The 26,314-nt window shown below is 45.6% G+C and overlaps 1 long non-coding RNA gene across 2 annotated transcripts in view, besides 2 other annotated features; it reads left to right on the forward strand.

Moving 5' to 3' along the window:
- Positions 19,580-20,138: an enhancer, noted in NCBI's record as "H3K4me1 hESC enhancer chr9:38310912-38311470 (GRCh37/hg19 assembly coordinates)". NCBI's record gives its function as "activates a minimal SCP1, AML or CMV promoter by ChIP-STARR-seq in naive H9 embryonic stem cells {active_cell/tissue: H9 hESC(naive)}" and the evidence as "EXISTENCE:reporter gene assay evidence [ECO:0000049][PMID:30033119]".
- LOC107987065 (uncharacterized) overlaps positions 24,788-26,314 on the forward strand; it is a 65,083-nt gene continuing 63,556 nt past the window's right edge. For both annotated transcript variants that reach the window (XR_001746670.2, XR_001746668.2), the window contains exon 1: positions 24,788-25,089. This is a non-coding gene — a long non-coding RNA (uncharacterized LOC107987065). The remainder of the gene's footprint in view (positions 25,090-26,314) is intronic.
- Positions 25,069-25,568: an enhancer, noted in NCBI's record as "H3K4me1 hESC enhancer chr9:38316401-38316900 (GRCh37/hg19 assembly coordinates)". NCBI's record gives its function as "activates a minimal SCP1, AML or CMV promoter by ChIP-STARR-seq in primed H9 embryonic stem cells {active_cell/tissue: H9 hESC(primed)}" and the evidence as "EXISTENCE:reporter gene assay evidence [ECO:0000049][PMID:30033119]".

The following is a 26,314-nucleotide window of genomic DNA, read 5'->3' on the forward strand; positions in this document are numbered from 1 at the left end:
GCCTCTACTCCCAGTACAAGGTCAGACACAGACGACACCTAGCAAATGCTGGACAAAGGAGCGAGGGAGGCACTTCCTTTCTCTGGCACCAACAGACCCATTGTGGATATCAGGCCTTTGGGGCTTCATGGGCTGAGATGAAGTGGAATTGACTTTATTTCATAGCCAGAAGGCATGGTTCCCTGTGTTACTAGCACTACCTTTTTACCCTGCTAAGTCCAAAACCACCAGTTATGTTGCCTCAAAGACAACCTCTGTGCCGGGGGTGGTGGCTCACGCCTGTAATCCCAGCACTTTGGGAGGCGAGGTGGGCAGATCACTTGAGGTCAGGAGTTCAAGACCAGTCTGGCCAACATAGAGAAACCCCATCTCTACTAAAAATACAAAATTAGCTGGGCATGGTGGCGCACGCCTGTAATCCCATCTACTTAGGAGGCTGAGGCATGGGAATTGCTTGAGCCTGGGAGGTGGAGGTTGCAGTGAGCCAAGATCTCACCACTGCACTGCAGTCTGGGTGACAGAGCAAGACTCTATCTCAAAATAAAACAAAACAAAATAAAAAAGAGACCTCCATTGGGTTATTGAGATCACTTAGCCTTCCTACCCCAGCTCACTTGTAGTAACTCCCATGCACGTCAACAAGGACATTTGGCTCAGAGGCTCATGGAACATCAGGGCTGCAGGAGCCTTTACGATGCTCCATCTCACTTCCTTATTTATAGATGGGGAGCCTGAGAGAGGGAAGGGGTCAAAGTGGTCATACTGTGGCCCAAAAAGAACCCAGGCCAGGCCTCTTTCCCTGTACCTCCCAAGGAACCAGACACTAGAATCAACATCCCCATTTTATAGATGAAGAAACTGAGGCATAGAGAAGTTGAGTCACTTGCCCACAGTCAGCCAGTGAGTAAAGCTGATTTGAATTGGTTGAACACCAGAGTCTCTCCTCTTAATCTCTGCACTATACTGACAGGTGGGGAAACGGAGACCCAGGGAGGGTCCCAGGGGTGATGGCTGCACAGAAAGTGGGTATGGCAAATGTTTAAATCAGAGCCTGCCAAAAGCACAAGGTAGGAAGTGTCTGGGCTGAAATGAAGGCCTTGGGAGTTTGACTTCTTCAATTAGGCTGTTTGTTTTTCTGAGTCCAGAGAATAATTTAACTAATGGTGCTGGTTTTCTGACACTATTGATCGGCCAAGATTAAATATGTTTGTCACAGTCAAGTGAACTAATCACTTTATTGTATTTCAAATACTAATTTCATCAGATAGATGTTGGGGGGTGCCCCAGGGGGAGGTTCTGGGAGATGAGCATGTGCACAGATCGGGGTGCAGGGGGAGGGCTGCCAGGCAATCGATGGAGCCAATCTGCCTAGAGGGCTCTGGGACACCAGGCTTTCTGGACGCCTGCAGCTGTGCTGCTCAGACTAGAGGAGTCTGCATTTTCTCTATCCTCCCCATTGCTGTTCCACGCCCTCTTGAAATTTCTCTTCTCAGGAGAGGCAATTTCTCAACCATTATTGGAAAATGGTAGATGTTCCTAAATAACTATCCTAAATCACCCCTCATCCAGTAATCCCATAGCTGCTCTGGCTCTGCTGGGTGCAAATGCTGCCTCTCTGAGCCATTAGCCATTCCAGGGACCACCGATTCATGGCAAAACCTGAAAATGAACTCATCTGTCTTTCAGGTTTGGAAAGGCTTTGCCATTTCCATAGCTCATCATGTTGGACAAGGGGACCCAGGGCTTATTAAATCACCCTCTGACACAATGCAACTGAGCAAGCCTCCCTGCTCAGGAGAGAGGGCGAGTATATACACGTGCACACACATAAACATACATGCCTGCACAGAGGCCCACAGAAACACATGTGGACACACACATGCACACACAAACATGCATGTTCATACACGTGCATGGACGTGCATACATACAAATGCACACACATGCACACATGTGCACTATACCCCTACATAGCCCATGCACATATACATACATCCTGCATGAACATATAGCTATGTAATGCATGCACACCCACATATGCACACTCACACATGCACACATGTGCATACACTCACATACAAGGTTCAGAAGTTCCCAACAGGCAAGATGTTTCTTAAACACATGAAATGGGTTTGTCCCCTGCACACAGAGTCTCCTAAGACTACTTGGTTGAGAGACTCTGAAGACAAAGTCAATTTCTCTAACTCTGAACACAAGCCTGCCAACAAGTCTCCTTTCTCATTTTATTGTATTTAATCACACCAAACACAAGCCTCAACTGTACCCCCTGGAGCTGAAGAAAGGTAGGTATCTACCTTAGACTTCTGAGGCTCAACCCTTTGGTGATTAGATGGGGGACAAGGCCAATTCCCAGCTGAACTTCAGACACTGAGGAATAACCCACCAGAATCATTGTGAACACTCGCTTAAATGGGTCCAATAAGGAGGGTCATTTCCAGAGGAACACACATGTTTCTACATGGAAGAGCCTTCTTCCACAGCTGCCCATAGAGCCCCTCGGGCTGTCTGGATGGGCTTAGCTGGCACTCTTCACTGGAGAATTGGGTTATTTTATATGTGCAATGTCTCACATCTGTACAGCTTTAAATCTATTATCATCCAGCAATTCTGGAAGCAGATAGGGCTTTGGGATTTACCATCCCTGTTTTATAGATGGGAAAACTGAAGCCCAGAGAGGGAGAGAGACTTGCTAAACATCCAGAGAGTCAGTGGCAAGTTGGAACTGGAGTTGGACTTCCTGACTGTAAGAGTGGGGACCAGTCCTTTGTAAGTCTCTGGTCAAATCCTACCCAAGCATTCAGAGCTTTGCAATATTCCCCTTTACCATATTTCTGTTCTTTTTTCAGTCTTTCACTCATTGCCAGATTTCTTGACTGCAGTTATGCCCTTGAGCAGAAGTCCCAAATACTCTCCAATCTGGGCTGCTCTTTCCAGACAACTTCAGGCTTGGTATCAAGAAAAAGGCTGCCTGTGTGGCTGGGTTGAGTAGGCCAAGGCCCTTGTCCTTGCCAGGTTTTCTCTATTTTTAGAAGCATTTTTTTGTGACTTCGATGCTGAGATCTGGAGCTTTCCTGGAGAGTTTTTTTCAAGCTTCAGAAGATGCATCCATCCCCAGGAATCCTACTGGGTTAAACGAGACAGAAAAAACCAGCAGCATCTCCCCAGGGAAACATCGAAAGTCAGAGCAGCAACAAACAGATTTGCTGAACATTTCAAATCTTTGAGCATCGTTAAAACCCAGAGAGCTGTGTGTTGAGTATGTAACCTGGCCTTTTAGTCTCCTTTCATGCTATGTAACTCCAGATGTTTTACCTCCTGAAAAGAAGTTTTTCTACATGATAGAGTACCCAATTTGCAAAAAATATCCTGGTTCCCTCTCCAAGCCAGCAAACTGTCGGCGGCATGCCAATTTTGATGTGCTCGTTAAAACCCAGACTTAGGAAATATTCCACACGTGGGTTTGGTGGTCTGAAGAATTTGGAATCAGAAGGCCTGAGCTCTGCCTTCAACTTGCTGAACCAGTTGCCTAAAGCCCCACAGAGCACTGGGACAGAGCTGGTGTTGAACACCCAAGCCACACACCCTCTGAGCAAAGAAGAATCAAATCTAACAAGGTCAACAAGCACATCTGAACATAGGCTGGAAACAGGGAGAAGCATGTCACAGTAACCATGTCCAAAAAGATCCCAGTCAAGGCAGTGGGGTAAGGAAGTATTCCCTCTGCATTTTCTTGTTCTCTATGTGGACTTCTGGTAGCCACCATCCTGTGCCCACAGCCCCACAGAGAGGGCCTGGAGGGTACAGTAGAACCCTTGGACAGACCAGCACTGACATTTCAGGGTGGAATTATCAGGGCTCTCCCTTTAGTCCTTGTTGGGATCACTGCCAAGTCCCTTTCTCTGGTGTCAGCCTCTGGCCCTCTCTGTCATTTGTACTGTTGACCACTCACCACTACCAGAGTCCATATCCTCCCTTGCTCCTGGGACTCCACAGTATCCAAATGTACTCTCTTTTTCTGGCTGTTTTATCTCTGCAGACACGTTTTCCTCAGCCTATTCCTTGAAGATTGGTGTTCTCCAGGACCATCTTCTTTTCTATCTATCCTCTCTCTCTCTCACTTTCTCTATCATTTATCCTCTATCAATATCTTCTATCATCTATCAATATCATCTATCATATATTCATCCATCTATTATCTGTCTATATAATCTATCCGTTCATCCATCATCTAGTATCTATATCAGCTATCATCCATCTATATTATCTATGTCTATCTATTATTTACCTACCCATTCATTTATTATCTATCTATTCATTTATTCATTCATTCATCTCTATCACCTGTCTATCCATTCGTCTATCAATCAATCAACATCTGTCTATTCATCTATTTATCATCTATCATCTATCTATCTATCTATCTATCTATCTATCTATCTATCTATCTATCTAATCTATCCACTCCCTGCACCATCTTGCCCACCCTCGTGTCTTCCATTAACCCCATGTGATGACTCTCCAGAGTGCCAGATGTATTAATCCACCTACCTACGTAACTTCTCCACTTGATGCCCTGCAGGGATTTTTCTCACATAATGAGTCTAGAAGCAGGCAGTGTCTTGCATTGACTCAGCAGCTTAAGCATGTCCTAGCTGAAGTCTCTGGTTCTCTTAGCCTTTCCCTTGTGGTTGCAAGAAGGCAGCTGTAGCACTGGCCATCTCATCTGCATTCTAGACAGGAAGAAAAAAGACATGGAGAAGGGCAAAAAGACACCACTGGTTTAGAAGCCTCTTCTAAAGCGTCTTCCAAGAAGCTCCGCCCAACTGCTTCCCCTTTCATCTCCTTGGACGCTCCTACCTTCAGAGGGGCAGTGTCTTATCTGCATCTAGTTTTAGTGAGCACACTGCCATCCCCATTGTGGAAACAATAGGGAACAAGAGGAGACATCTCCCTAGACTTCTCAACCCTCTCCCCTGACTGCATCAGGCTTCTCCCACAGCCCCCTACCTGCCTGTACCCCTATCCCTCTTGGCCCCTCTGATGGGCTCCCATCCAGAGCCAGAATGATCTTTCTAGCATGAGACCCTGGTTCTAACACCCTCAGCAGCTGCTTCATCAGGGGTCTGCACCTAGATGCCCCTAGATAAAACTCACTGACCCACAGGATAAAGTTCTCAGCCTAACCTTTAAGATCCTGGAGAATCAGTATAATCTCCAGAAACTGAAAGTTCTATTTCTTTGCTGCAATGCTCCTCGTGGGTTTCAGAAAAGTGCAGGCATCCTTGAGGGGGAAGGGTGGCTGACAACAGAGGATTTAAAAAACAAACACATTAGCTCTGGCCTGCCCAGATAATGAATAGAGGAGAAGGTTATCTATCTCACTGATTTATGTTGTTACGGTTTCTTCCATAGACCAAAGTGGGAGCATCTTTACATCTCCCGCCTTCCACATTTGCTGTGGCAAGGAAATCACATTTTCCATCAACCCTGGGAATTACTGAACGGCAGTGCTTTTATTTGTTAAGGATTGAACTTGGCCATTTCTTCTATCAGGGGCTGAGTCCTGCTGTTATGCATAACTTCTCATCCAGAGAGACACCATGGAGAATAAATCAGGACTGGGACTCAGTGTGACAGCCACATTCTGGCAGGGCTCTGGGGTCTGGGGGCTAATAGGGTTTCACTGCAGGGAGAAACTGCTTCCAACTGGGCTGGGGAGAGGAGGTGAGGCTGAGACTTTGAAAAATGAGTGGAAAAAATTTTGCCACTTCATAAAACCAGTGTCAGTGGGTGAAACATAAACCATCCAGAGACTATGAGAGCTGGCAAGGCCTTTGGGGAGTTTAGGGCCTCTTAATCTGTGGCTGGGTTTTATGGGGTCTGTGAACCCATGAAATTATGTGTAAACGTTTCTGTGCATGTGTGCATTTCCAGCACACACAAAGGGGTTACAGTTCATTGCTTTCATCAATTCTCAAAGGTCAAGAACTGATCTGGCATGACCCTCTCGTCATGAAGAAAAGAAAACTGTGGGGTCTTTGGGATAGAAGAGACCAGCCAAGTTCCACTGGTAGGAAAGAGGCAGAACTGGGATTAGGAATTTGCAGACTCAGGTTCCAATTTGGCCTGGCCGGATCCCGGCTGTGTGACTTTGGGCTGGTTACCTTATTGCTCTGGTGTTTTATTACACACACATTTAAGGAGATGTCAAGGGGATTTTAAAAGGGAATTAATGACTTCAATACCTACTTACAGGAGGTGTGGAGCTGGTGCTCCATAAGTATTTTTTTAATCACCGAATAATGTTGAAAATCATTCTTTTCAACTATCATCTATTCAGCAAATATTTGTTGACTACCTCTTATATACCACATGCTGAGTGAACAAAGTAGGCACAGTCCCTGCCCTGGCAGAGTGGGAATTAAGAAGGGGCAGCAGTTAAGAAAACAGACCATTGTTATTGCTGTAACAATGAGCTATTACACTGTTGATGTAACCCTTGTAATGCAGTGTGATGAATGTCATAACAGGGTCAGCATAGGAACCTGCGAGAGCACAGGGTAGGGGTACCTAGCCAGAGGTAGTGTGGGGCGGGGGAATCAGGAAAGGCTTCCCAGAGGAGGCAACAAGTAAGCTGAGACCTGAAGGAGAAGCAAGAATTGGCCAGGCAAAGGGAGGGCTGGATTATCATCTAGAGAACAACACATGCAAAGGTCTAGAGGCCAAAGAAAGCTTGGTGCACTTCTTTAGGGAAGTCATAGATCAGTCTTGCTGTTTCTACCTGCTGCAGGCAGCCAGGAGAAGCCATACTGAAGTGCATTAATTCCTTTTGAAAATCCCCTTGACATCTCCTTAAATGCATTTGTAGTAAAACATTAGGGCAATAAGGTGACCAGCCCAAAGTCACACAGTCAGGATCTGGCCACGCCAAATTGGAACCTGAGAGGCCAAAGAAAGCTTGGTGCACTTCTTTAGGGAAGCCATAGATCAGTCTTAACTGATTTTAGCTGCTGCAGGCAGCCAGGAGAAGCCATGCTGAAATCAACATACATAGCCAGGACCTCGACATCCCTTTCATCTTTTATCACCAGTTTGTCTTTGCATTTACTTACTTAATGTTGGCACTTTTGTACATGGCCATCTCCTCCTCCCTGTCGATCCAAATAGTGCAGCTTCCCTCTAGCTCCTTGTCTCTAGAGGTGAGCAAATACTTACCTCCAGTAATGCTGGGATTAGAACCCAGATGGGACAGTCTGCTGAGCTCTTGTTGTCACAAGCAGACGATCATCGCGTGGCTTGCTGCGCTGTCCCAGGCTGGCTGAGCTCCCTGAGTTGCTGCCCTGCCAGGGACAGCCTGAGTGATCACCCCTGAGATGATTAATTCCTGCCTCCCATGGCCGGCCCTGGGTCTGCAGCCAAGTGCTGCTGTCATCTCTTTATTTTTCTGCTCTACTGTTATTGAAAATCAATAAGGCATCCAAGCTGAATGAAGTTTAGTGACTGGGACTGAGTCCATAAATCAAATAAAAACTAAATTATATTTAAAAAGGGAAAAAGGACTAAGAAGGCTGCTTTGGGGTGGAGTGCAGTCCCTGAGAGTTGGATATCACGGAGGCAAAGAGATGAGCAAGAAATGGATACTACCTGGTTGGTGGGTGGGCTGTATCAGGACTGGAAGTACTTCCGGGAACAGCTTATCCAGTCCCCTATTTTCCAGGTCAGAAGACTGAAGTTCAGAGGGGACTGAAGTCACACAGTGAGAGGCAGACCTGGCCCCAGACCCAGGCCCTGGGCCTCCTCTGCACCCACAGTTACTCTCCTTCTACCAACCGGCCTCAAATCAATTAGAAACAACAGCTGAAGTGAAGTGAATTCTAGAGGAAACCCAAGGAAGAGGTTTTAGATTTTTATGTTGTCAAATGTATCACTCTTTTACTTTACAGTTTCTGCATTTAATGTGGTGCTTTAAAATCCTAAACAAATATGTCTGTTTCCAGCCAAGGAGTCTCCAGAATAGTTCCTGGAGCTCACACAGAGCTGAGAATTTTTCATGTTCTCCCCAACTCAAGTGGAAAGACCTCCTACCACGCGGGATACTGAGTAGGATTCTCAGCCTTATTAGTGAGGCCAAATTAACCCTACCCTAAAAGCTGCTCTGTCACCCTCAAAAGGATACAATTGATTCATGCTCCAGAACAAAGTCCAATGGTATTTAAAGGGATATAATAAAATTCAGCAACCAACAAGGTAAAATTTGCAATATCCAGCACCGAAGTGCTCCCTTGGGCAGCAAGCACAGAAATAGGAAAATGTGGGTTACAACCGGATGGAAAACTAATTAGTAGAAACAAACCAATAAGTAATAGAAATTATAGAATTAGAAGACAAGAACATTAAAACAGCTATTATGACTCACAGGGTCAAGAAGGTAGAGGAAAATGACCAGGATGAAGAGTGAAATGGAAGTTTGTAAAATTTAAGCTCCAAATGGAATTTCTTGAAGTGAAAAATATAATATCTGAAATGAAACACATACACACAGATGGTAGTAATATGAGATTAGATTCTGAAGAAGGAAAAATCAGTGAACTTGAAGCTATAGCCTTAGAAACTATCCACAATGAAATATATGCTTACCATAGAGCAATCATACTACTGGGCCAAGAGAAATGAAATCATGTTCACAAGAGGACTTGAATATTTATAGCTTTGTTCATAATGACGAAGAGCTAAAAATAAGCTAAACATCTGTGAACTGATGAAGAGATACGTAAGATGTGATATATCCATTCTTTTTATTATTCAGCAATAAAAGGAATGAACTACTGATACTTGCAACAACGTGAGTGAATGTCAAAAGCATTATGTTGACTAAATTTACATGAAATTCTAGAAAAGGTAAAACTACAGTTATAGAAGGCAGATCAGTGGTTGCCTAGGGTGCAGAATGAGAGAGAGTAAATTGATTGCAAAGGGTGTAAGGGAACTTTCTGGGTTAGAAATATTTTTATTAAAGTTGTGAAGATGATTATATAACTGTGTACATTTGTGAAAACTCAGTGTGTGTATGCTGGGGGGAGTATGGGTGTAGTTATAAAAGGACAGCATGAGGGGTCCTTGTAGCGATAGAACTCTTCAGTATCTTGACTATGGTATAAATACACCAACCTACACATGTGATGACATTGTATAGAACTAAATATACACATACAAGTGAGTATCAGGGAAAACTACACAAGATCAGTGGGGTGTTATCAATGTCAATATCCAGGTTATGATGTTGTATTATCACAATCATTAGTGGATCATTAGTGCTACAACTAGGGGAAAACTGGTTAAGGGTATATAGGATCTCTCTGTAATATTTCTTACAACTGCATGTGTAAGACAATTTTTACAATTATCTCAAAAAAATTTCAGTGAAATTTTTCAGTGATAATTGTAATTTAATTACAATTATCTCAAAAAAATTTCAGTGAAACTAGATTGTAGAAATAAAATTGCTAAATTTTATTGTATGTAAATTATTATTTCTCAGCAAAGCTGATTTTTAAAAAGCTCTATATGACACTCTAAAACAAAGTTATGTTTCTCTTTGTAACCTGCTCCTTCAAGTGAGCTTAAATAGGACTTTTGCTCCATTTATATGAAAAATTATAAATTAGGAGTATTTAGAAGTTTCATATGTCTTTTCCTAGCACACATTGAAAATGACTGATGAATTATTTGTGTTATCCAATGATGACTGGAAAAGTTATGGGACACACCTAAAATTTCGTCCAGGGATTGAGGAAGTAATAAACTATACAGAACAGCAGGGGAAAGAATAAGCCTATTTTCTACTTATAGCCTATTGAACTTGGTCTGTTTAACAAAACAGCTATGTTTTATTACATTATGATAAAGTAATCTTACGACAATCCCTACTTTTTAGGACTTTTTGGGTCCTTTATTAATGGCCCAATATACCCCAATATAGTAGACATTTATCCTTTTTTTGACTGCTTATTATTGAACTCCCTTTCTGATGGGCATTTATTGTACCTAATACCTGCTTTCCTCACTTCTCTTGTTGCTAGGGCCTAGGCTCAGCCATCAGTGCAGCTGCTTTGGTCAGGGCCTATTGATATAAAGAAGTAGGGGGTCTTGAAAATTCCGCTTCTGGCCATACACTGTGGCAACACTGAGTTTCCAGGGCCAGCAGAGCCAACAGCAGCAGTCAAGGCCAGATGCCAGCTGTGCAGGTGGCACATCCAGGGTTCAATGGAAGGGACTGTGGTGAAAATCCTGGCTGCTGCTTGATCGTTCTTTTGCTTGCCTGTTTTCCAATCCTTGTTGAAATTCTTCCTGACAATGTCAGTGGGGTTGGGGTTGGAGGGGGACAGATGATAAACATAATAAATAAATACTATATTCAAAAGTAAGAAATGCTGTGAAGAAAAATAAGCCCAAGTAAGGAAAATAAGGAGTGCTAAGGGGCTGAGATGGGGTGGTCTGGGCCTCATGGAGAAGTGACGTTGAGCAAAAACCAAAGGAGTTGAGGCAGGGGCCATGTGGATATCTGGGGGCCTGCGGGAGCGAAGGCCCTGACATGGGGTGCCTGGAGGCCTGAAAGAATAGCCAAGACACCAGTGTGATCAGAGTAGAGTGAGTGACGGGGAGAGACATAGGAGATAAGGTTAGAGAGGTGTCAGGGAGCCAGTCATGGTGGGCCTTCTTGGTGATTATAGAGACCTTGACGTTTACTCTCAGTGAAGTGACAGCCATGGAGGATTTTGAGCAAAATCATGCAATGCTCTGCCTTATGTTTTAAAAGCCTCACTCTCAGTGTCTATGGATAACAGGCTGTAGGCAGACTAGGGTAGGAGAGGGAAAACTAGATTAGAGACTATATAATGATATTCCAAGAAAAAGAAGGTAGTCGCCTGGACTTGAGTGGTAGTAATGAAGGTGGTGAGAAGAGATTGGATCTGGATATATATTGAATGAAGAGCCAAGAGGATTTGCTGTCAGGAGTCCAAGTTGAGTCCAAGGTTGAGTCCAAGATGCAGCTGTCATTTACTGAGAGAGGGAGGACTGTGTAGCACGGTTTGGGGGATGACCAGGAGGTCAGCTTTGGACATCAGAAGTTTGAGACAACTCATAGTGCTATGGACGGAATTGTGTCCTACTCCCCCGCCCCTTCATATGTTGAAGCCCTAACTGCCAATGTGATGATATTTAGAGGTGGGGTTTTAAGAAGGTAATTAGGTTTAGAAGAAGTTATGAGGGTGAAGCCCTCATGATGGTTTTAGCGCCCATCTCAAAAGAGCTGCTAGAGAGCTTTTTCTCTCCTTCTCCCCATCACTTTTGGACACAGTGAGAAGGGGGCAGTCTGCAAGCCAAGAAGAGAGCCCTCAACAGAGCCTGACCATTCCAGTGCCCAGAGCTATGACAAATAAATTTCTGTGGCTTAAGCCACTCAGTGCATGTTATTTTGTTACAGCAGCCTGAGCTGAGGCTGAGTTGGATACACTTAGATAACCAAGTAGAGATGTTGAGTTGGCAGTTGAAAACCCAAGCGTGGTTCTAAGGAAAAAGTTTAGGTATGGATGTCATGTAAAGTTGGTAATTGTTAGTAGCTAGATAGTATTAAAGCCATGAGACTAAGGAGGTCATCTAAGTGTGTATAGTGAAAAAGAAAGCATCTGAGGACTGAGACCTGGGACATATCATCAATACAGACAGACCTTAGACATTGCAGGTTTGGTTCCAGACCAGCACAATAAAGCAAATATTGAAATAAAGTGAGTTACACAAATATTCTGGTCTCCCAGTACATATAAAAGTTATGTTTACAGTATACTGTAGTCTAGTAAGTGTGCACTAGAGTATGTCTAAAAAATGTCCTTACCTTAATTAAAATATACTTTATTACCAAAAAATGCTAAGGATCATCTGAGCCTTCAATGAGTTGTAATCTTTTTGCTGGTGGAGGCTTCTGCCTTGATTTTGATGGCTGCTGACTCATGGGGGTGGTGGTTACTGAAGATTGGGGTGGCTGTGGCAATTTCTTAAAATTGGACAGCAATGGGCTGGGCATGTTGGCTCACACCTGTAATCCCAACACTTTGGAAGTCCGAGGCAGGCGGATCACCTGAGGTCAGGAGTTCGAGACCAGCCTGGCCAACATGGTGAAACCGTGTCTCTACTAAAAATACAAAAAGTAACTGGGCATTGTGGCATGCACCTGCAATTCTAGTTACTCGGGAGGCTGAGGCAGGAGAATCGCTTGAACCCAGGAGGTGGAGGTTACAGTGAGCTGAGATCATGCCACTGCACTTCAGCTTGGGTGACAGAGTGAGACTCTGTCTCAAAAAAAAAAAAAAAAAAAAGAAGTTTGCTGCATCAGTGAATTTTTCCTTCACAAAAGATTTCCCTATAGCATCAATGCCGACAGCATTTTATTTTATTTTATTTTATTTTATTTTATTTTTAGATGGAGTCTCACTCTGTCACCCAGGCTGGAGTGCAATGGCACAATCTCAGCTCACTGCAACCTCCGCCTCCGGGGTTCAAGCGATTCTCCTGTCTCAGCCTCCCGAGTAGCTGGGATTACAGGTGCACACCACCATGTCAGGCTAATTTTTGTACTTTTAATAGAGATGGGGTTTCGCCATGTTGGCCAGGCTGGTCTTGAACTCCTGACCTCAGGTGATCCACCCGCCTCGGCCTCCCAAAGTGCTGGAATTACAGGCATGAGCCACCATGCTCGGCCTCTGATAGCGTTTAATCACAGTTTAACTTCATCCCAAATTTGAGTCAGTCTTCTCAAATCCTGTTGCTGCTTTATCAACTAATTTTATGTACTATTCTAAATCCTTTGTTGTCATTTGAACGATGTTCATAGCACCTTCACCAGGAGTAGATTTCATCTCAAGAAATCACTTTCTTTGCTCATCTGTAAGAAGCAAATCATCTACTCAAGTTTTATCTTGAGGTTACAACAGTTAGTCATATCTTCAGGCTTCACTTCTAATGTAGTTTTCTTTCTATTTCCACCACATATATAGTTACTTCCTCCACTGAATTTTTAAACTCCTCAAAGTCATCCCTGAGGGTGGGAATCAACTTCTTCCAAACTCTTGTCAATGTTGATATTTTCACCTCCTCCCATTAATCATGAGTGTTCTTTTTTTTTTTTTTTTTTTTTTTTTTTTTTTTTTTTTTTTGAGTCAGAGTCTTGCTCTGTCACCCAGGCTGGAGTGCAGGGCTGGAGTGCAGCGGCACGATCTTGGCTCACTGCATGCACCGCCTCCCGGGTTCACGCCATTCTCCTGCCTCAGCCTCCTGTGTAGCTGAGACTACAGGAGCCCACCACCATGCCTGGCAAATTTTTTGTATTTTTGGTAGAGATGGGGTTTCATCGTGTTAGCCAGGAGGGTCTCCATCTCCTGACCTCATGATCCACCTGCCTCGGCCTCCCAAAGTGTTGGGATTACAGGCGTGAGCCACCGCGCCTGGCCCATGCGTGTTCTTACTGGCATCTAGATGATGAATCCTTTTCAGAAGGTTTCAATTCACTTTGCCCAGATCCATCAGAAGAATCACTATCTATGGCATCTATAGCCTTGTGAAAGATATTTCTTAAATAACAAGAATTGAAATTCAAAATTACTCCTTGATCCATGAGCTGCAGAATGGATGTTGGGTTAGGCATGAAAACAACATTCATTTTCTTGTATATCTCCATCAGAGCTCTTGGGTGACCAGGTGCAGAGTCAAGGAGCAGTAATATTTTGAAAGGAATCTTTTCTTGAGGAGTAGGTCTCAACTGTGAACTTAAAATAGTAAACCATGCTGTAAACAGATATGTTGTTATCTAGGCCTTGTTCTTCCATCTAAAGAGCACAGACAGAATAGATTCAGCATGATTCTCAAGGGCCCTAGGATTTTCAGAATGGCAAATGAGCAGTGGCTTCAACTTAAAGTAACCAGCTGTATTAGCCTCTAATGAAAGAGTCAGCTTGTCCTCTGAAGCTTTGAAGCCAGGCATTGACTTCTCCTCTGTGGCTATGAAAGTGTTAGATGGGATCTTCTTCCAGTATAAGGCTGTTTCATCTGCACTGAAAATCTGTTGTATAGCATTGCCACCTTCATCAATGATCTTAGTTAGACCTTCTGGATAACTCTCTGCAGCTTCCATGTCAGCACCTGCTGTTTCAACTTGCATTTTTATGTTATGGAGATCACTTCTTTCACTCAACTTTATGTGCCAACTTCTGCTAGCTTACAATTTTTCTTCTGTAATTTTCTCCCCTTTCTCAGCCTTCACAGAGTTGAAGAGAGTTAAGGCCTTGTCCTGGGTTAGGCTTTGGCTTAAGGAAATCTTGTGGCTGGTTTGATCTTCTATCCAGACCACTCAAGTGTTCTCCTTATCAGCAATAAGGCTCTTTTACTCCTTATTATTCATGTGTTCACTGGAGTAGCACTTCTCATTTCCCTTCAAGAACTTTTCCTTTGCATTCACAACCTGGCTGTTGGCACAAGAGCTCTAGCTTTTGACTGATGTCAGCTTTCGACATGCCTTCCTCACTAAGCTTGATCATTGCTAGCTTTTGATTTCAAAAGAGAGATGTTCATTCAATTCTTCCTTTCACTTGAACATTTAGAGGTCATTATAGGGTTATTAATTGACCTAACTTCAATATGGTTGTGTCTCAGGGAATAGGGAGGCCTGAAGAGAGGGAGAGAGAGAGGGTGAGTGGAGCAGTCAAAACAGTCACACACAGTCAACACACAAAATTCATCAATTAAGTTTGCCATCTTATATAGGTGCAGTTTGTGGTGTCCCAAAACAATTACAATAAAAACATCAAAAATCACTAATCACAGATCACAATTACAGATATATTAATAATGAAAATATTTGAAATTTTGCTAGAAATGCCATCATGTACCATGGAGACACAAAGTGAGCACATGTTGCTTGAAAAATAGTGCCAATAGACTCGCTAGACACAGGGTTGCCACAAACCTTCAGTTTGTTTTTTTTTAAAAAGCAATATTTGTGAAGTGCAATAAAGTGAAGCATAATGAAATGACATATGTCTGTAGTAACACGTGGAGGACAGAGGAGGGGCCAGAAAAGACTGAGAAGTGACATCCAGCAAGGTGGGGAGCTACTGGAGAGCATGTCTTCCTGGAGGTCAAGGGAAGAAAGTCTTTAGAAAAGGGAATGTTTAGTGGTGTCGAATATGGTTGAGAAGTCATGGAAGATGATGCAAAATTTACCATGATCCTTTGAGGTGTGAAAGTTAAAGTGAGGTCATTGCAGGACAGTTCTCTGGGTCGCCTTGGACCAACGCAATTCCTTCCTCTTTTTGCTTGTAATTCTCAAGCATAACTGTAGAATGTGCTGGGAATGCAATATCCTGAGATAGAGAGGAGGCCAGGAGCAGCCTGGGCCTTGTTCCTATCCCTCCTAGGGAATGTAATATCTTGAGTTAGGGAGGAACTGCCTGGGACAGTCCGGGCTCTGTTCCTCTCTCCCCTGGAAGCAGGATGTCCATCAAAGCTTTGCCCAGTGAGTCCTGTTGCCCCTGAGGTCTATAACCCAGAGTGGGCTGCCTTTCGGGGTCTCTCAGGTTTTATGCAAAGTGGGAAACGTGCAGGCAAGACCCTATCTACCCCATGCAGTTATCTTGAGCCTTGGGGTACCAGCTTACAATGAATCCTAGGTTTCTCTTGTCCCTTGCTGCCTACCTGTAAGTAATAAACTTGTTGCACGTGAGTGTGTTCTGTTTCACCGGACTCGGGTGTTGGTAACACTGCAGTCCAAGATGCAGTGGGAGGAGTGCTTGGACTCCTGTTCCTGGTGGTTGGTGCAGTGATGGTCTCTGCTGCCCTCCATGCAGTGGGAGGCCTCCCTTGGGGCTAATTGTTAGTGAACCTGCCTCCCAGTCATCTCCTTCCCAGTGTTTAGTGTTGCCAGGCTTTCCCCGCAATCTGGCAGGTGCGAATGGCCTGTTATTGTTGTTTTAAACTCCCCTGAGATTTATACAGCTATTTTCCTTGAGATCCTGGGCAGGGATTAAGTAGGAAGATGGTATTTAGGGGCTGAAGGTGGACACTGAAGGTGCCCTCACTGATCTTGACTCTAGGTTTGTCCAGGGTCAGATGGTGGAGGAGGTATGCAGGAGCCTCCTATCTGCTTTAAGTAATTCTGTGTTTCAGGAGGTGAACACCAGAAGGTATTTCAATCTTCTTCACCTGTCTTATCATTAGTGGAGTGTCCTCTCAGATTTAAGCAGAAAGTTTTCTGTCCACCTGAGTCATCTGTATGCCTGCAAGCAATGCTGTGGCTTCATGGTTCCATTAGTGAAAATTTGTAGTTGGGGTGGAGGAGGGTACTATCAATTGCCATTTAAAACTGGAAATGTCATTTAGAAATATTTGAATTTTTTAAAATGTCCAAACCACACCTATCACCTTTGTGTACCTGTTCTTTGTGTTTTAAATATGCATCTCATAGACACACTCCTGCTTACTTAAGTCCTGAGGGTTTTCAACTTTCATTTCAACCTTCACGTGATGGTTAATTGTATGTGTCAGCTTGGCTGGGCCAGATAGTTGGTTCTACATTATTCTGGGTGTTTCTGTAAGGTCAGGGGTGGGGTTTGGATGAGATGAACATTTAACTTAGTAAAATGAGTAAAGCAGATTGTCCTCCATAATGGGCTGGACTTCATCCCATCAGTTGAAGGCTAGAATCAAAGGCCTGAAACAAAGGCTGATCCAAGTAAGAGAAAAGTCTCCTGCCTAAGGGCCTTCAAAATAGGACAGGACATTGGCTTTGCAGATTTTAGACCTGCTAGTCTCCATAATTCCATGAGAAAATTTCTCACAATAACTCAGTCTGTCTTTCTCTCTCTCTCTCATTAGATAGATATATGATAGATTAGATAGATAGATAGATAGATAGATAGATAGATAGATAGATGATAGATAGATCGATAGATCGATAGATGATAGATATAGATTAGATATTTCTCCTTGTTTCTGTTTCTCTGGGGAACCCTGACAAATACAATGGGGAAAAACAGAAAAGACCCAGAAATTTGGCCAACAAGGCACTGTCACGTGGCATAGGTGTTGCAGGGCCCCTCAACCCACCCGGCTGATGTGCCTGGCACAGGTGGGCATACACCTTGGCCCCTCTCTGCTTCCATTTTCCTATCCCATTAAAGAGTGGTTGGACTGGATGGTCCCTGCAGACTCTTTTAATTCTAATGTTCCAGGTTCCTTGAGATGCTGAGTTACTGAGAAGTGAACACAGCCAAGCCTCTACACAATTTCCACCTTCTGAATTGGCATGGGGAATGTCCACTCCAGCACCCCCACCAAAAAAGAGGTTAACAGCAGATGTTGGCAAGGATGTGGGGAAATAGGCAGGAGAAGGCTTCTAAACAGAGGGAACAGCATGATCAAAGGCACAGGGGTGGGAAATTGCTCACTGGATTCAGGGAAAGGAGTGGCCTAGGGGTGGCGGGATCACTAGGTGTGTAGAGGGAGGAATTTTGAGGTACGCACAGCCCTTTGTGGTTTCCAAGGCCCTTTCACGCTCTTCTCATAACCACAGCATGAGATCAATATTTTTTAATGCTTATTTTACAGAAAAAGAAACTGAGGCTCAGAGAGCAGAAGCTACTTTTCTAGGGTCATATGGCTGGGAATCAGCAGGGCTGAGATTTGAACCCAAATCTATCTGTGCTTTTCCTGATACCACAGAGCTTTAGAGGCTGTATGACTGACCATACCTAGAAACCTATTTTGCATTTTCCTAATGACAAAGGCATGTGCTATTTGTTAGACTAGCCATACAGTTGTTCTGATTCCACTGTCAAAGTGGGGGAGAAACAAATCCATCATCACTTCATCCAAGGCATTTTTATTTTTATTCCCTCTTCTGCCAGCCCCCTGGGGAGCCTGGCAAGGGAGGCATATTTTGATTCTAACTGTGCTGTGTACATCCGTGCCCGCCTGCATGTGCACAAGGTGAAGGAGAGAGTATAACTTTATTCTCGCTTGGGGGCAACTGGTTATGTCTGGAAACATTCGAACATCCCATAAAGCTCATTTCTTTTGCAAATGAGTCAGATAACACAGAATACTTCAAAGTGGAATTCCGCTGGGCTTTCCATCTGGCTGGCCTCTGGGGGAATGCGTGGTGCACTGCCTTTGTTAATCAGGTTCTGGGAGTTTGAATTTTATGCTGAAATACAAATAACTGTGCGTTTGTGGGGAACAAAGCCAAGATATGATCTCAACTGCATTTGGACCGAAATTCCCATCTCCTGCTAAATGCTCTCTACCTTCCACATGGAGAGCAACAAACCCTTTCTTGCTCCAAGCAGCTGTGCTCTTTTATCCCCTGCATCTAGGAAGGCAGGCGTGGTTGAGGCATGGCTGCTCACCCTGTGGCTGATTGCTGTTGTCTGTGTGAGCCTCGCTTTCCTGTTTGCATGCACTCCTATAGGCCCCCACAGTCTTCAGAGTCCAGTTCCCTGGACAGTCCTGTGAACTGGATTGCTCCAGTCCACCCTCCTTCTGGTTGGAGAGGCTGGGCAGCTTAAGATGACATTTCCCAGATGCCCTGTGGTGAGAATCATGGATGGGAAGTAAGTACCATCCATTGGGTACACTCGTATGAGTTTTGCAAATCAGAAGTGCAGAAGCCCCACTTTCCTGACCCCTGCTTGCTGTTCTTCCAGCAAGCAAGGCCACAGAAACACAGTTTCCCTGCAGCAGGGTTCCCTGTCCATTTTCCAGCTTGCTGGTACCCAGAGCCTTTTGCAGCAGCAGCTGCAACAGTGGAAGTTTTAGCTTTTGTATTCAAGCAGAGCCCCAGTGGGTTCTCAGAGGCATTAGCAACCCCAGTGGTCAGTTTTGTGCAGTCCTGAGAGTTCTTCCTGGAGCCAAGTCCTTTAACCCTCCCAATGACTGGGTAAGCACCCATGCCCTGGTTAAATCCTTTCCTGCCTAAGGAGCCAGTGGGATTTGTGTTCCCTGCGTTGAATCTGCTTGATACACCCCTAGCCTGGCTTTGATAAGAAATTCAGTCTCTTCCTAAATACAGTCATCTCTCTGAATCCAAAGAATGGTTGTGTCTATACTGAACACATACAGACTTTTTTTTATACAGTCATAATTCCCTAAACAATACCGTATAACAACTATTTACATCTCATTTACATTGTATTAGGTTTTTAAAATAATCTAGAGAAGATTTAAAGTATAGGGGAGGATGTGTACAGGTTATATGCAAATACTACGCCTTTTGATATCAGGGGCTTGAGTGTCTGTGAATTTTGGGATTTGTGAGCAGGTCCTGGAACCAATCCCCCAGAGAGCCAGGGAGAGCTGTGCTGCTTAGGATTTTTGCATCTGGGGTGGAGGTGGGGAATTTACATGTCATTGTCTGCTATCTCTTGTTCCAAAATTCCATAGTAGCTTCCACTCTGCCACCTTTGGTTGCCTCTTCACTATGTGTGTTAGTCAGGCTTCTCCTGAGAAACAGAGTCAGTGTGCGTGTGTGTGTGTGTGTGTGTGTGTGTGTGTGTGTGTGTAGAGGGAGAGAGATCTATTTTAAGGAACTGACTCACTCAAGTGTGTCCCCTCCCTCCCAGCTCCAGCTTGGGTGCTGCCCCTGCCTAGCTGAGGCCTCCACGCCGTGGCTCACCACATAGAGACACAGGTTTCTCCGTGTCTCCGGATCCATGGGATTTCCTTGATCGGCTCTGCCCCTGTGGATTCCTGGTGAGTCATGGCATCCTCTTTGCCTCCATTGCTCCCAATTATACAACAGAATGGTGGGTGCAGCCAGGCTCCTACCAGGACCCTGGGGCTTTTCAGGGGACCCTGCACCTGGGACCCTCCAGAAGCTTGGATTCCAGAGACCAGCTTCAAAATGAGACTCATGCCCACCAGAAGCTTTCCTCACATGGCCAGCCTGGGCTCCCACGGCAGGTTCTGGAGCCCTCTGATACATCCCTGTCTTCCTCTTCTGCTCAATGGCACCGACAGGGCAAATATGAGAGTCCCTGGCTCCTGTGAGCAGCCTTAGCTTCTGGGAGACTCCAGCAGCCCCCTCCAGAGTGGCTCAGCCAGCAGCCTCTGCTCAGTTCCCTTCAGGACAGCTCCTGGCAGCTCCCCTCGGCTTCCATTGGCTGAGGTTTCTTCCTCCTTTGCAGTGCTGGGCAGGACTCTGGGCTGCTCACCACCCCTGGGAAAGGAGCAAGGGAGTGGCCAAGCTGTCTGTGGGATGCGGCTTCAGGAGAGGGCCCACCACGAGAGAGCCAGAGTCACAGCCGGCGGCTCCATCAGAGGGCTGGACCCCTAGAGTGGGCTGGGCAGAGGGCTGCTCTCCTGCCTGCTCGTGATGTCTCTCAGTTCTGCACTCATTCTATTCCTCGTGCATCTTTGCATTCTGGTCTCAACAGCTCTCACGGTAGCATGTTGACTTCCCTGCTGACGCTATTGGTGGGTGTACAAAGGGCAGCCTGGCCTCATACCACCCACTGCACTTTGCTCAGCACTGTCAACACGGACACTCAGAGAGTAAGAAGGACCCTGCTTCTGCCCACAGCACCTTGGGGGCTTTCTCCAGGAGTCCCCTCCCTGTCGCTTCTATCCTGAGTCAGTCTTGGGGTTACCAGGGAGCAGGAAGCACACAGCACAAGGACAGAATGAGTGAAGCAGATGAAAGCCACTTGTGTAGCACCTGGCATCATCATAGGTGCTCAGCACTGAACCAGCAGGGGCTGGGAGGCAGAGAGAGAACCACACCACACACCCAGCTCCCCGCCTCCCAGGTCACGGCTCCGTTTTCTGTTGGGCCCTGTGTGCCTCACTAATGTCAGCATTTGCCAAACGGTGAACTGCAGAAATCACGTCAAATGTACATCTGACCCTAGATACGTGGCATCCCCCTACCCATGGCAAGCATCTTCTTGGTCTATTTCTTGGCTCAAGGAGTCTCTTTATGCCTTAGCACCTCCTTAATGGCCCAAGGTTCTAGACTTCTGCAGACAGCATGGCACTGCCTCCCCTTCATCAGCTCTGTGCTACTTCCAGCCCTGGCCTGCCTTGAGGCTTGAAGAGGAAACCCTGGGAGGCCCCATGGTGGAAAACGGAGAGGAATGGGCCAGGCCGAACCCTGGGCTTCTACCTCACTTTGCTCTGCCCAGCTGTGGGAACCCAGGAAGGTCACAGCTCAAGCATCAGTGTCCCATCTGCCACCGGAGAGGTTATGGGTCTCAAATGCCAGCCTCTGAGGCATTTGGTCCCCTCACCTCCTGGACACAAATAGAAAACTCACTGAGTCCTGCTTGCATTTACACACCGAGCTGGTCTTGTGATGTCTCCCCTTAGCATGGCTTTGTTCAATGTCCCTCTGCTTGTCACAGTGCCACTTATTATGCTCTGTCTAGACTGCCTAACAAGGCCGGGTGCAGTGGCTCACACCTGTAATCTCAGCACTCTGAGAGGCTGAGGCAGGCAGATCACTGGAGGTCAGGAGTTTGAGACCAGCCTTGCCAACCTGGTGAAACCCCATCTCTATGAAAAATACAAAAAATAGCTGGGCGTGGTGGCGCATGCCTGTAATGCCAGCTACTTGGGAGGCTGAGGCAGGAGAATCACTTGAACCCGGGAGGCAGAGGCTGCAGTGAGCCGAGATTGTGCCACTGCATGAGAGAGTGACAGTGTTGCAACAGTGAGAGAGACTCTGTTGCAAAAAAAAAAAATTTTAATAAAAATAAAAAACTGCCTCACAAAACTGAATGCCCAGGACGGGGAAGGTGTTGCTGAGCAGACGCCCTGTGGAAAGGCCAAGGGTGTTACTCAGCCATGGACACAGTGAAAGTGGGTGCCACCCACAACCATTCCCAAAGCTTGGCTCTATAAATCCTGGACCCCTGAGCCATCAATTTGAACACCCATGTATTTATGCCAAAGCATCCTTCCCTTTTCCAGCTGAGCTACAATACGAATTCAAGACTCCTGGCCATCTCCATATACCCTCTGCTTCAGAGACATTATTAAGCTACTTATAATTAGGAATAATAACGCCTGCAGATGCATTTTAATACAACCCACAAAAGGAGCTGTGTGGGTTTCTTCGTTCCCCAGCACGAAAGCAAACAACTCTTCCCCTGTTGTCTAGATCCAACTGCTTCACTTTCCAACAGCTGCTCTGACAGATGAGGGACAGGCAGAAGGTCAGAGTGAGCTGACCGACTTCCAGGCACAAAGGACAAAAGGATCTGAAATGTGGAGGGACTCATTGGAGGTCCCCGGCAGCTGGCTGAATTGTCTGGCTCTACACAGTGGGGAAACCGTGAGAAAGAGGGAGATGTCTCCTTTCAAACCTGGGCACTGGAACTTTCCTGGCTCTGACATCATCTTTTTTCTTCTTCTTTTTTAGTTTTATTTTACTTTAAGTTCTGGGATACATGTGCTGAATGTGCAGGTTTGTTACATAGGTATACATGTGCCATGGTGGTTTGCTGCACCCATCAAGCCATCATCTAGGTTTTAAGCCCCATATGCATTAGGTATTTGTCCTAATGCTCTCCCTCCCCTTGCTCTCTAACCCCCAACAGACCCCGATGTGTGATGTTCCCCTCCCGGTATCCATGTGTTCTCGTTGTTCAACTCCCACTTATGAGTGAGAACATGTGGTGTTTGGTTTTCTGTTCCTGTGTTAGTTTGCTGAGGATGATGGTTTCCAGCTTCATCCATGTCCCTGCAAAGGACCTGAACTCATTCTTTTTTATGGCTGCATAGTATTCCATGGTATATATGTGCCACATTTTCTTTATCCAGGATTATAAATCATTCTACTATAAAGACACATGCATACATATGTTTATTGCAGCACTTTTTGCTTTTTTACAATCAGCCTGCCAGAGGCTGGTCCACAGATTGTGGAAGCAGAAAGTGACCTTCCTCTCATCTGGTCCAACTCCCTCATTTTGGAAACTGAGGCTTGGAATGAGGAAGAGATTTGGCTTCAAATGTCAGTAGCCAAAGACTGGGCCCAAGGTAATTGAAATATAAATAATGCAATGATCATCTGCCCTCCCAGCATTCCCTCACGACAGCACCCAACTCTAGCTTTTGATGAAGGAGCCAAGACCCAGAGAGGTGGCATCATTTACCCCAATGGCATCGTATGACCAGCACAATGAAGGAAACCAAAGGGGTATTGTGACTTTTCCTCCCTCTTTCCCCTCCTTCTTTTGTTCTCTCCCTTCCCTTTCCTTCCCTTCCCATCTCTTCCTTCCTTCTCCATTTTCCTTCCCTCCCTCCAAACTTGTCTTTCTCTCTTCCTTTCTTTCTCTTCTCCTTCCTTCTTTCCTTTCTCCCTTTATTAAAAAAAAAAAAAGGTGTTCTTTTTCCATCCCACAGATTGGATGAAAAAAAAAGTTTAATGCATTTCAAAAATATTCATGCTCAAGGATCGTTCAAGACATCTGGACCTTTTAAAAAGTTGTTACAATTTTAATAAATAGGATGTATTTTAAAATATGTGAAAAAGACATTCCATTTAGTTAAGATCAGAAACTCGTTAAATTGCCTTTAAGATCATTTCTCTATTATATTTTTAACCAAGGTAAATTTCTAAGGGTTTTCGTTATATTATTTCCATATCGTTCTCCATAATCACATACATTTGATGCTTTCTAAAGCCTTCATAAATATCACTGAAAATATTTGTCCCTTTTTGTATTCTAAGTATAGCCCACATTCAGCAGACTTGTAGCAAACACACATTTAGGCAAGAGGATGAGGAGTGAGGAAACTAGATCCTGATGTCAGACAACTGAGCTGAAACTGGATTCCGGGACTGAGTGTGTGCCAGACCTCATCCAGGTGTGCAAATATGGAGGTATGCCTGGTCGCCACTCCAAGAGGCTTGCAAACTAAAGGCTCTAGGGACACGTGAATAAAAGGAGGAAGCAAGTATCCCAGGTGCTGTGAATCTCTCGAGAAGGGTAAGGGGCTGCTGAGGCAGGTCAGTTCCACTGGCGGCAGCCGGAGTGCAGCCAGAAGGAAACGCTCAGAGGTCCATGCAGGAGTTTTGCCAGAACCTTAAAACAAGTAGGCATCGGAAAAGGGCAGTGCAGGCAGCAGGAGCCACACAGTGGAAGGCTTAGTGGTATTGAAGAGCGTCCTGTGTCTAGGAGATAGCATGTGTCTCCCGTACAGGACTGGAGCCTAAGATACAGGCACAGGGAAAGGGATGAAGCATGGGGAGACTGAAACACTGATATTACGCACCTGAGCTGACACTCGATGCCAGCACTCAGATTCCCTGGCCATTCTGTTTTTTTAGCGAATCAAAATGTCCTGATCAATGTGCACCCTATTTCCCTGTGATCTGCACCCCCAGGGGCCTCCAAGGAGCAGATGGTGAGGATGGGTCAGTACTAAACCCCCGCCTGACCTGGCAGGTCCAGTGCCAACCACCAGGCTGCCAGTCAACGAGCAGGTCCCTACTCCTCTCTGGACTTCCGTGACCCCATCGGAATAGTGTAAGGCTCTTTTCAAAACCTGTCAGCTCTGACAGTCTCAGCTCCAGGATTCAAAAGTCAATGCAGGCCAGGCGCTGTGGCTCACACCTGTAATCCTAGCACTTTGGGAGGCTGAGGTGGGCAGATCACTTGAGAAAAGGAGGTTGAGACCAGCCTGGGCAACATGGCAAGACCTTGTCTCTATTAAATTAAAGATTAAAATAGAGTTTACAAATTAAAAAATGTCAACACAAAGTAAACTTTATACTTTGTGAGCTGAGCAGGTGGCCAGCTTGCCGCCCAGCTGCTCAGCCTGGCACCAATGGCTTGTCCTGCACCAGTGCTTGGCATGGGGTCAGGAGGACAGTTTGGGAAGAGTCTCCAGCAGACCGGCGTGCCTGGTCTCACAGATGACTTCCCAACCCCGTGCCAATGGGAAACCAACAGAGGCAAGTGGCCAGGGTGGAGAGCCTGGGAGGCAGAGCAGGTGGCCCTGGCACAGCAGGTCTGGGTAAGTCATGTCTGGGCATTGTTCTGGGGGCTGTCGGGCTGCTGGAGCAAGGGAAGGGAACACAGGCATGAATGTGTTCAGTGCACAATGGGAGAGGGTCTGGTAGGGGCAGGGGCACTGGATCAGGCCAGCTTTGCAAAGCAAGATTGCTGCCTGCAGACTGGACAAGGGACAGGCAAGGCCATAGCCAGTGCCCAGGTTCCCCGCCCTGCAATGTGGCTGCAGGAAGGATGGTCCACCAGGCAGGAGGAAAGGGGCTGAGGGACAGAAATTTACCTGTCAGAGGATAAGGAGGCAGGGGGCAGTGAAGATGGTAAGCTGATGGAAAGGGAGGTCATATCCAAGTTCTGTCATTGACTCCCTGAGTGACCCTGAACATGTCCTCCTCCTCTCTGACCCTCAGTTTCCTTGGAAACATAATGGGGATAATTGTTACTGGTTCTGCCTTACCCACAGGAATCTTGTGAAAAGACAAAATAATGAGCCAGATAATGGATGTTCCAGGGCTTGTAAATGGTCAAGGCTGGGCTAAGCCCCTGCCGCACTTGGCCTCATGGAATCCCAGCCTGTAGTCAATTCACAATTTCTCTGTGGCAGGATTGAGTGGCGACAATAGGTTGTGGAGGACTGTGTGTGGCTGTGGCCTATCTTGAAGCGGTATTTCCATGCCACTCATCAGGAAAAATTGGGAAAGACTTTAAAATGGGCAAAACATGATCACTAGATGTTCTTCTAAAGCATCCTTTTGGGTTATCTGCTCCTTTAACTGTTTTCAAGCTATCTTACAATTTTATATGTTGTAGACAACTGATAGCAATGCAAATAATTCCAGTCCATAGAAGTACAAATGAATTGGCCGTGTGCGGTGGCTCACGCCTGTAATCCCAGCACTTTGGGAGGCTAAGGCGGGCGGATCACAAGGGCAGGAGTTTGAGACCAGCCTGGCCAATATGGTGAAAGCCCATCTCTACTAAAAATACAAAAAAATTAGCCGGGCGTGGCGGCAGGGGCCTATAGCCCCAGCTACGTGGGAGGCTGAGGCAGGAGAATCGCTTGAACCCGGGAGGCAGAGGTTGCAGTGAGCCGAGATTGTGCCACTGCGCTCCAGCCTAGGCAACAGAGTAAGACTCCGTCTTTAAAAAAAAAAAAAAAAAGCACAAATGAATTTTACCCACTGGAGATGCAATTGCTTATTGCTCTGGGGATGTTGATGACATTTGTATCT

Source organism: Homo sapiens, chromosome 9, assembly GCF_000001405.40.
Source record: "Homo sapiens chromosome 9, GRCh38.p14 Primary Assembly".
NCBI classification, from domain to species: domain Eukaryota; kingdom Metazoa; phylum Chordata; class Mammalia; order Primates; family Hominidae; genus Homo; species Homo sapiens.